At 40.8% G+C, this 12,260-nt stretch overlaps 1 annotated feature.

Annotated features, from left to right (window-relative positions):
- Positions 11,485 to 11,734: an enhancer, noted in NCBI's record as "active region_28712". NCBI's record gives its function as "activates an Ori minimal core promoter by ATAC-STARR-seq in GM12878 lymphoblastoid cells {active_cell/tissue: GM12878}" and the evidence as "EXISTENCE:reporter gene assay evidence [ECO:0000049][PMID:35858748]".

The raw sequence follows: 12,260 nt of genomic DNA on the forward strand, positions 1-12,260 counted from the left end.
CACAAAAGGGAAAGAGCAGTTGCTGTAAGAATGCCACATTGACTTCCGCACTTGAAGTCACCCTCTTACAAGTCCTGTTCTATAGAGGTGGCTTTTAGGGAGGATGACCGTGACCAAAGGAAATAGACACCATGTTCTGTCTGCCTTGCCTGGTGTCACCTTTATTTCCTTCTTTTCTTCTTCTATTTGTCAACTTTTCTTTAATAAATAAAGAGTATCTTCATAGTCACTCAAAACAGCAAAGTTTTTTTTAAACCTTTAAGTCCATTATTTAACTCAAGAAACAAGAGTTTATGTAACATAAGCAGGGTTTCCCACTCTGTCTGTCTCAGCAAATGCAATTTAGATGTGCTGTTTCTAATGAAAGCAAAAACAGAACAAATAATTAAATTAAAAACAACAGCATCAATTTAGTGATTTACCAATTAGCAATTCACTCCAACATGTATTGAATAAATGCTGAGCTCACAGAACACCATGCATAGTGTTCCTAGTTTAATTGGCCTCTCTGCAACATTGAACATGCTAGCCACTGTCTTCTGCTATACCACCATCTTCCCTTGGTCTTGGTGACACACACTTCCCTGGCTCTCTGCCTCTTATAAAGTTCCCTCTTCTTTTCTCCACCTAGATATTGGCTCCATCCATAGCCTCATTTTCAAGCTATCTCTCTGATGACTTCATTTGCTTCCATGACTTCAGTATCTACCTGATGATCTACACTGATGATTCCCAAATTTACATCTTTAGCTCAGACATCTTAAAAGAATTCCAGGTTTACAAAGCCAACCTCTTACAGGACACCTCCATTTGAATGTCCCATCAGTATTCAAACTCAACACGTCAGAAGCTGAACTTATTATTCCCAGGGTTAACCCTTGACTTTGACTAGGAAGACTCAGAGTCAATTATAATCTTCCTCTTGTGCTTCCTATTAGTGACTGCAAGCAAAAACCATGGATGTTTGACTTATTTCCCACTGCCACGTCCAGTGATCCTAAGCCTTTGCTTCTTCTCCAGTACCTTCAATAACCATCAAATACCTTGGTTACTCTACTAATTTCACTTAACTGGACAATAGCAACAGCCTTGTAACAGATCTCTTTGCTCTATTCTTGACTGCTTCAATCTGTTCTTTATGCAGCAGTCAGAGTGATTTTCCCAAGATGCAAACTAGATTATGTCACTCTCATATCTAAAACTCTTCAGTGGTTACCAAGGCCTTCAGGATAAGGTTCAAACACCTGGGGATGTCTTATCAGTTCCTCTGTCTCTGACCCTTGCCCACTTCTCCAGGCATCTTCCTGCCGTCTGTATTAGTTAGGATTGAGGTTCCAGCTGCTATAACAAAGACACAGACATAAGAGTGGCTTTTAAACAAGGTAGATGGCTTCTCCTCTCTTATATAGAAAACCAAGTGTAAACAGTCAGGTCTGCTGTAGGAATCCCAGTTCCTTCTATCCTGCTGCTCCATTATCCTCAATGTGTGGCTTCCATCTAAGGTGGTCTAAGGTGATTGCTACTGTTCCTACCATCACTTTCCATTCCAGTCAACAGTAAAGGGCCAAAGGGACAATGAAAGGATCCAGATGAGATTAAAAAAACATATTACATCCACCCACACCCTGTTGACGGTAATTAAGTTATTTGTCCAACCTTGGCTTCAAGGGTGGCTATGAAATGTAGCATTTTGCTGAGCGGCTGGGTGCTAACTCATGCTTGTTTCAACCTAGGAATTTGTAACTGTTGAGAACCCTTTCTGCTCCCAGAGGACCTTGTGCTTCCCCTCCCAAAATGCTTACACTAGATTTGAATTGCTTGATTACTTATCTATTTTCTCATCCAGACTATGAGATTCTTTAGAATGGAACTGCATCTTGCTCATCTTTGTTTCCTGAGTGCCTAGCATAGTGCCTGATGCATAATAGGTTATCAATACATGTTTGTGGGTTGAATAAATTTTTTAAAGTTTAGTAAGAATAGGACCTCAAATTGTACACACAGTATGAACTTAGCTATAAAAAAAAACACAAAAAGCAAATAAACAAATATAAAAAGAGTTCCAAGTAGAAGAATATCAAAATGTTAATATAGGTTGCTTGTAGGCCATGAGATTATGGGTGGTTTCTCTCTGATTCTAGCACTATTATTTTAATTTGGGGGAAATATTATTAAAAAGGAGGAAGGAAATTTTGTTGGCTTTAATTTATATTAAGCTCTTTAAAAGTTTCACTAAAGAATTCACAATTATGTCGTCTTTGAGCCATTGCTCTTTCAAAACACCACAGAGCCAACTTGGAATGATTTATTTCAAAGTTAACATTTAGAGGAAGAGGTCACCAACCCCAGACTGGCCATTTCATAGGTGAGAAAACTAGGTCCAGAGAGAAGAAGGGGCCTCCATAAATATGGTCGTTTTTATTGTGATAAGAACACTTAACATGAGATCTATACTCTTAACAAAATTGTATGTGCATGGTAGAGTATTGCTAATTACAGGCACAATGTTGTACAGCAGATCTATAGAACTTGTCAGTCTTGTAAAACTTTATATTTGTTGAATAGCAACTCCCCATTTTCTCTCTCCCCTCAGTCCCTGGCAACCACCATTATATTCTGTTTCTATGAGTTTGACTATTTTAGAAACCTCATATAAGTGGAATCACATGGTGTTCGTCTTTCTGTGACTACCTAATTTCACTTAGCATAATGTCCTTCAGGTTTATCCACGCTGTTGTATATGGCAGGATTTTCTTCTTATTTAAGGCTGACTAATACTCCTCTCTCTCTCTCTCTCTCTCTCTTTCTCTTCTCTCTCTCTCTCTCATATAAATGATAAAAGGTTAATATCCAAAATATATAAAAAGCTCCTACAACTCAATAGCAAAACAACCAATAAAATCACATACACACAGCATGCACATGTGGGTATCACATTTTCTTTATTCATCTGTCAATGAACACTTGTTTCCATATCTTTGCTATTGGCAATAACACTACAATGAACATGACAGCATTAACATTTATTTGAGATCCCGATTTCAGTTCTTTTGGATATATACTCAGAAGTGGGATTGCTGGATCATATTGTAGTTCTATTTTTAATTATTTAAGGAAACTTCATACTGTTTTCCATAGCAGAGGCACCATTTTATATTCCCACTAACACTGCACAAGGGCTCCCAATGCTCTGTGTCCTTCGTTATCCCTTTTTTTTGACAATAGACATCCTGATAGGTGTGAAATGGTATCTCATTGTGATTTTGATTTGCATTTCCCTGATGAATAGTGATATTGAGCATTTTTCATAAACTTCTTGACCACTTGTATGTCTTCTTTCAAGAAATGTCTATTAAGTCTTTTTGCCATTTGGGGTTTGTGGGTGTGTGTGTGTGTATGTGGTTTTGATTGGCTGTTTTGCTATTGAGTTGTAGGAGCTTTATATATATTTTGGATATTAACCTTTTATCACTTACATAATTTACAAATTTTTTTCCCATTCTGTGGGTTGCCTTTTCACTCTGTTGTTTATTTTGCTGTGCAAAAGTTTTTTAGTTGGATGCAATCTCACTCATTTATTTTTGCTTATGTGGTTTGTGCTTTTGGTGTCATATCCAAGAAATCATTGCCTAGACCAATGTTATAAAGTTTTTTCTCCATGTTTTCTTCTAGGAGTTTTAGAGATTCAGGTCTCATGTTTACATTTTTGTTAATTAACTACTTTAGGTTAATTTTTGTGTACAGTGTAAGATAAGGGTCCAATTTCATTCTTTTGTATGTATGTGAAGATCCAATTTTCCCAATACCATTAGTTAAAGAGACTATCCTTTCTCCATTATGTATTATTGGCACCCAAAGATCAGTTGACCGTGTATGCTGTGGGTTTATTTCTGGGCTCTCTATTCTGCTCATTGTTCTACATGTCTGTTTTTATACCAATATTATACTGTTTTAATTAGTGTAGCTTTGTAATATATTTTGAAATCAAGAAGTGTGATGCCTTCAACTTTCTTTATCTCTCTCAAGATAGCTTTGGCTATTCAGAATATTTTGTAGTTCAATATGCACGTTAGGATTACTTTTTCTATTTTTGTTTAAAAAACGGGATATTAATAAGGGTTGCATTGAATCTGTAGATCACTTTGAATAATGTGGACATTTAAAAAATATTAAGTCTTCTAAACCATGGGGACAGGATGATTTCCCATTTATTTGTGTCTTTAATTTCTTTCATCAATGTTTTATAGTTTTCAGTGTACAAATCTTTGACCTCCTTGGTTGAGTTTATTCCCCAATTTTTTTTTCTTCTGATGCTATTGTAAATAAAATTGTTTTCTTAATTTCCTTTTTGGATAGTTTGCTGTTTGTGTGTAGAAATATAACTGATTTTTGTATGTCACCGTTGTGTTCTACGACTTTGCTAGGTTTGTTTACTAGTTTAAACTGATTGGCTGTGCCTCTGGATGTATCAGGCTTGGTTTTATTCTTTAGAGAATGCCTTTGATTGATACTTTTTAATTTCAATTGTTCTCATTTCCAGTCACGATGAACCGCCAGTCCAGAAACAACACATCCCGCTGTGTGCACGGCTCATTTTGGTGCCTTGGCCAGCGTACTGGAAATAAATGATGAAATCAGTCCTAGTAGCCCATTGCAGATGCCGCCACACTGCAGCATCCTAAGACAAGGGCATTTGTCTGCAGCTTTTCCAGGAAGAGTCCCCTGGCAAAACTTATCAAAAAAAGGCGAGGCTGCCAAATATTTTGCTCTTTCTTGACATGATTATGGGGGCCATTTTGTGATGATTTTTTAAAGAAATCTGAGTTTATTCCTTTTTTCACTTAGCTCTTAACCCCTTGGTTACACAGTCATGAAGTGGGCACAGAGGAGCAAGTCATGTTGTAAAAGACTTTGAGATCAAACAAATTCAAGGAGAATTGTTCCATCTTGATTATGCACACCTCTCCCTTGTCCCCACTGCTCTGGGTATTAGACTCCTCAGCATAGTCTGAATAGAACACGAGCAAGCAGAGCTCAGCATCTTTAGAGACATCTTTTGACCTTTGGATTCTCTCTTCCAACCTCCATACCCAGTGGTTCTACCTCCTCCAGGAAGTCTTCCTGATTGTCCTGGCTTTCTCTGGTCTCATATGCCTCAGAACTGCTAGTTCATGGCCTGTGTACATATGCCACTTTTTTTGTATGTCCCATATCTAACCTTAGGTGTTGATTTATTTTTTCATGTAAGCCTACTACATTTCCCCAATCTGTGGGCTTTCCGAAGTCACGGGCTGTGTCTGACTCATCTATATGTCCTCAGAGACTTGCTCTCAATAAGCACTCTGCAAATTCTTGTTGAATCTGTAAGATCATCCAACCATTTAGGGCAGCTTTACTTTAGAATTTGAGCCAACATTCCTTTCCCAGTTAACCCAGAGCTCCCACCTCTCACCCATAGATCTTTTGGATCAAGTCTCTCTTCTAGGCCTTCAGCTCAAGGGAAAGCAGAAAAAGTACAGGACTAATAGGTAAGAGTCCTGGGTTCAATCTAATATCTGTCTATTACTAATTGAATGAGTCATTGTATGTCTCCCAAAAATAGTTTTTTCAACTGCACAATGGTTGTTGTTGCACTACACAAGTTGTTGTAAGGATTCGGTGAAGTAGTGTACTCCCAAAATCTTGGAGACAGGTAAAACCCAAAAAGGCAACTTTATACTCCTGTGAATATTACCTTTTTTCTTCTCCACTTGTAGGAACCACAATTTTTTTGTTTCTTTCCATCCATATCTGACCCGTTCACATTACTGCTCACAAAACTCACCTCAGCACATGATGTTCTTGCCTATACCAAACAGCAGCCTCCAGAAGTGTAAATTTTATAGCTGTAAATGGAGTCATTCAAGAATAACAGGGTCAGGTCTAAGTCTGGCATCTACAGTGAGGGTTCAGAAATAGTGATAAAAGCCAAACACCCCCTCTATTACTGAAGAGAGTCAATATTCCTGGAGACATCCATGTTAGCAGTAGGAACATCTAGATGGTAACAACAAAAAGGTGCATACAGATGGAATTGGTGCAAATTGTACTGGATTTACTCTGTAAAGATCCAGTGTTTGTCTATCTTTGTTGACAATGCTTGTAACACACCAGCATTCTATATCTCTTCTCTATGGCTAAGGTCACTTGGGGGAATTCAGAGTACTTCTACAGCATGTGTGTGTGTGTGTGTGTGTGTGTGTATGTGTGCGCGCACATGTCACATAAATACAGCATGGATTCTTCATCTTTCCACTATTTGATATGCAGAATTTATGTAATGTGGATGTTCATATTAACTCTTGATTCTAGACATAGGGGAGCTCATAAATGAGTCAAAGAAAAATATCCTTAGTACCAGAATGTTGGGAGGGTCAAACCCATGTGAGGCTTTTCTGGAGCTCTTATATAATGCAAAATGCCCACAGTCCAGAAGACAAGGTTATTAGGTGAGGACTCAGAAGACAAAAACACATGTGAATTAGAGGCAAATATTACAGTGACAGATTGCTCCTCCTATCTTTCCTATAAATACCACTTCTCATGGGATATGTGTTGCTATGGTGATGGAGGTAGGGTGATCACTGAACCTAGAGGGTAATAGGAAATGTTACTGTAGGCTATAGCTTCTCTACTTTCCTGCCATGCCTCCTTTACCTCTTCCCTTCTCAGCCACACAGCCTACCAAGCTTTCTACCTTAAAGCCACTGCAATCTCTTCTCCGCACATTTCTACCTAGTAGTCACTTCCAGTTGCTCCTTTTTTGATTGGTCCCTTTCAGGGTGAGAGCTTCTTAGGATCACCTCCAGATTTCCGATTTAACTTCTCTCCCTGTGAAAATCATGTACTGCAGGCCTAAGGCAAAGGAGGCACCCAGGCTTCTGGGATACTAACCCTGCTACGACTTCTGAGCACTCAGGTCTCTAATTTCCAAAAGAGAAAGCTGGACACCTTATAAAAATATCCTCTTCTGTAAAATTCTCTCATTGGATTAGAGCTCAATCTGATACTTTAGAAGAATATACTTTCTTTGTCACTAAATGAGGAGCTCAGTGGTCCCTATCTATGTTGAGTTCCACATGAATTCACCTGCATGAGACAGAGGTTGGGACTGGAAATTGGCTGTAGGCTCAGCAAGGAAGGACAGTGTGATGTGGCTGCTTAGTAAGTCTGCAGCATCTGGTTGGTCTTGGTAAAAGGGAAGAGCTCTAATGTGTGGGAGGGCCTGGGACCCCCTTCCACCCTGTGCCGGTCAGCCCATCAGTTGGATCATCACACCCACAATTACAAGTCTCTGCTTTATGGAAGACAGATAGCCTGAGTCCACAATGGGAAGAGAAACAGGGCAGATGAAGGGTCAGACATGTAACCAATGTGAAGAAACTGGGAACTTGTGGCTTGTAGGAGAAAAGCCATTTGAGGTTCCATAACAGCTGCCTCCATTTATCTGAAAGGTGGTCATTTGGAAATGAGATCAACTACATTCTATGTGAAAACTAAAACCAATGGCTAGAGATAATAGGAAATTAATTTTGGCTCAAAATTAAGTGCACCTTCTCTAAAAAATAGAACTGGCTCTCAGTGGATGGGGCTGCCCCATGAAGAAAAGACCCCCCTACACACACACACCAGGTAGGAGCATTCAAACAGAGGTCCGATGTCAAACCATTAAGAGGTTGGCCTAAGAGATTCCAACTTCCAGGGCCCAAACCTGATGACTTCTGAAGGCCTTCTCAATTTCTGAATTTTGATGCCAAAAGAGAGTCCAGAACCTAATTCCAAAGAGCATCCTCTCCCCCGCCTCCCTTTCCATCCCCAGCACACTAATTTTCCCTCCTTTGGTGCCGGTGGGAAGCAGGACTCCATGAGCGCTGGTAAGTGAGACAAGGCTCTGCCCAGCCCTCTCAGCATGCTTGGCAATTAGCTGGACTCCAGCCTTCCAGGACTTACAAGCTCTCAGCAGGTCGTGCTACTCCACTAGTGCTTATTTAGAACCCAGGGAAGGAGGCAGCCACAGGTAGCAGGAGCTTAATTCTGAACCAGTGCTAACCAAACATTAACATTTGCATTTAAAAACAAGAGAAGGAAAAAGAACGATAAAAACTCTACTCAATTAAAGCTGTTTGCAAATGCAAATATGCCTGACACCAGAGAGAAAGGGACTCCAGAGCGGCCACCCCTCTCTGCTGACATTTGTGACCAGACAGAAAAGGGGAGTGTATACATGTTCTGGGAGAAGGAAATGGGATGGATTGGGGGGTGGAGGATGAGGAGGGACAGAAAGATAATTTTGTTCTATACCATGAAACCTATAATTTCCCTCTGACATGAAAATTAGCTCTGTAGCTAATTAGCTTTCTAATATCATTTGCTGCCACAGAAGGGATACAAGTTTATGAATTTATGAAGCTACCTGGAAAAGAAAAAAGAACTGCAAGTTTGCAAGAGGGGATTAGCTGATTGAAATCGCTGAGGCCATTTCAGGGGATCAGGCCTGTGGCTGCCTTTGTGCCCTGAAGCATCCCTCAGACAGAGGCCTGGTGCTGTGTCCACACAACCTCTCCCCTGTGGCACCTCCTGGCTTCCCTGAGGAGGCTCCTGTCTTTGCAAAGTCCTACTGGAAAGTGTCTCCTCATACTGCACTGGACTGTGTCCTCTGAAGCTCCTGTGGCTGGTCCTTATTGTGTCTCTTGAGTGGCAGAGCTCACTTTCCCTCCCCCTGCCCAGAACAAGCCTTCTGTGGCTTGAAGGCATCTACAGATGAGGCTGTGAGTCTGCTTGGCAGCTGGCCTGCTTACCCCATCAAACATCTTCCCCTCTCTTCTCTGAGTGGCTCCAGGCTTTTTGCCCTTCCTATCAAGTTCACTGTGATTCACTTTGGTCAAGAGCCTTCCAGAAGCTTCTGGAACTCAGCCAGGCCATGGGTGGTTTCTCTTATTTTTATTTTCTTTAAAATATAATCATAGCTTATGTCAGCTTATGTTTACAGATCACATATTATGTGCCAAACATGTCATGTGCTTTATTTCATTTAACCATCATAGGAACTCCAGGAGTTAGATGTTAGATTATCATTCCCACTTAACAGATGAGAAAACTGAGGCTCAGAGAGGTTGCAGGTGTGGTAAGTTATACAGCCAGGATTTTGAACTCAGGTCTGTCATTTGTTATCAAAACCACTACCTCACCCATGCAGGGCCTTTTGCAACTCATTACGATTACTTTCATTGATTTTGTGCTTTGCCTAATCCTCAGGATACAGGCGAGGAATATGATCCTCACAGTGGTTGAGTGACCTGCCCCTTGTCCACAGCTGGCCATCAGTGGGTCTGGGGTTGGAACACAAACTCTGTTCCATGTTTTCTGTGCCTCAGCACATTAACTTACACCTGCTAAATATTTTGTCCTAAAATTGTTTTCTTTGGATTAAAAAAGTCTCAAGATAATTATGACTTCCATTAAATACAACCAAAAAGTTTAACACATGAGATTAACACAGAGCAGATTTTGAATTCTTGCCTGTAATTAAATCTATTTTTAAGGACACTTCCCAGGGGCTCCTAAACGTAATGTAATTGTACTCCATGGCTTCCTCCATGCAGATAGATATCAGCTCGTGGCTACATGTAACTACAGCTTTGGGTCCAGACCATCACCATCCAGGCCCCGAGTCTTCAAAGAAGCCCAAGGGGCCACAGAGCCCTGCCCAGCTCACTGTCCAAACAAAGTATTCTCCTGCCCCGTCTCCTGCTCCCCGCTCGCCAGTACCTGCCAGCTTAAGGGTGGATTTGTGCAGTGACTACAACTCCCACATTGAGCCCTAAGTTCTCAGATCTGTTATCTCTTGGGCTGGGGTCCACTGTGGTTCCTCTTTGGCCTCTCCAACCAGGACAGGGCCCCGTACCACATGCTCCCTATAATCTGACCCTGACATTTCCCAACTTTCCTGATGGCCACAGTTTGTAATACCTCAACCCCAAATAAACACTTTAAAAATAGAGAATAATAAACACTTTAAAAATAAAGAATAATGTCAGAGCGAGACTCCGTCTCAAAAAAAAGAATAATGTCATCCATTTATCTAGTGAAATCCACAATACATCAAGCCCCCATTCAGTACAAATGGCCCTTCAGTAGAAGTCATCAATTAAGCTGAATTTTAAAAAATATCTGTATCATTATCATCCTCTTTCTAAATACTGTTAGGAATTACTGGTCCTTAAATGATTACATTCACTAATTGTAATAAATTTATTTTGGGATGTCTTAGAAAACAAACTTGAAGATGAATAAAGCAATGCTCCTTAATACTGAAATTGCTAAACTTCTCATGGAATATAAAAAGCAAATTACTTTTAAAACATACTCTTCCAGGTTATGTAGCTTAGGGGACTGATTGCAACTCTTATGTGGCTAGTTTTTTTAAAAGTTTGTGATATCCAATAATAGTACTCTTAAAGAGTAATTAACATCTTCAGAATAGGATTCATGAATATTACTCACTGCAGCTTATGGAATCCAAACAAAAGCACAGCCAAGAGCCCAAGGCATGGTTGATATGCAGGAAATAGCCAGACCAGGCTGTTTGGTCAGCAGCCTCAACGCTCCAACTGGAGACTGGAATGGGACTCAAAGGGGCCTGGGATTACGCTTCCCAAAACATGCCAAAGACCGTCATCTGGCTCAAGAAATCTGGAAATTCAATTTCTTCATTCCCAATAATGCCCTTAAAAAAAGTCAGCTTTAATAAGTATCAAGAGTGTATCCAGTTTTGATGCTCTCCTGCGTACTTAAAAATATTACATACCAACCTTCTGTTTTCATATAATCTCCATTACATAGTTGGGCTTTGCCCACATTCTGGTAATGATGTCTGTCTTTCAAAATTTGCTTTTCTCACAAATAAAGAAAAGAGTCCCTGTTCTCCAGGCAGCCTCTCCTTTTACCTCCTAGCTAGGCTCAACCCCGCCATTCCCTTCCTTAGTCCTTTGAAACTGGGTCTCACCTGAGGTGGATTTGCTGCCCTGTTCTTTTGGTGAGTTCTGCATGTACCTCTCATCTGCTTCCTCATTTCCTCTGTGGACTTCGCATTAAGATGACACCTTTGAGGCTGTTCTGGCAGCCTATCCTCAGAAAGACCTCCTTGGGTCCGGCTGCTTCCGGAGATATGAAAGCGGAATTGGGTGGGAAGGATGGTTTTAGGAAACTTGAATGCAAATCATATGCAAATGATACTGCTAACAAGCTGTGTGACCCGAGGAAAATCACACAGCATCTCTGAATCTTTATTTTGGTGATTTGTAAAGGGGAGATTCTCACCCCAACTCCCCTCATTTGGAGCAAGATGGTCATGAAATGACGAAAGCAAAGGAGCTCTGTAAACCACAAAGAGCTGTCCAGAGGTCAACAGATGTTATTTATTCTCCTAGCAACATCACTGCTTTCATCTGGGCAGCTGTTAGCAGCTGCATTATTCTTCCCCCCACAGGTCCCAGCATTCCCATCTCTCCTGTCATCCTACTCCAGGAGGGCCCATCCCAGTGACCCCAGTTTCAGTTTCACAGAAGGTGCAGCTGGGTCCTTTTTCTCTGCAGCTGAAGCACTCAGTTTGCCAGAAGCCTGCCCCTCAGATAACTTCTTAAAATGCCGTTAAAGCATGCCAAACTTCCTCTCAGTTCCTGAAGCAAAACACAAGCAGCTGGCAAGTGGTTAACCCAAGCCACCCTCACCACCGCACCATCACACATATCTGGGGACAACAAAACGATGCTAACAGGGCATAAGCTTTGAGGCGTGATGGGCCTGGATTTGAATCCTGCCCTCAACCATTACCAGCAGTGTGATCTTGGGCAAGTCTCTTAACTTCTGTGAGCCTCAATTTTCTCATCTATAAAATGGAAACAATAATACCTCACAGGGGCACTTGGTAGATGATGATCATTATGATGATGATAATATGACAGAAATGCGGGGAGCTTGTTTAGACAGCGTTTAGTTTACTGCTGCTTTTACTGGGACTGTTAATATTTCCTAATAACTTGTTAGGCAAGTTCAAGATTTCCTGGGGCCAGTGTACCATTTGAAGGTCTGGGGAGAGAAGCCCTGCGTAGTCCCCCTAGACGACCCGCTTTTTTCCTAGGGTCTCATCCAAGATAAATCCCATTTCTCATACCATGCTCCATATCTCCAGAAAATTGGATTAATACAAATAAAACTCTTGG

This window comes from Homo sapiens, chromosome 9, assembly GCF_000001405.40.
Source record: "Homo sapiens chromosome 9, GRCh38.p14 Primary Assembly".
In the NCBI taxonomy this organism is placed as follows: Eukaryota; Metazoa; Chordata; class Mammalia; order Primates; family Hominidae; genus Homo; species Homo sapiens.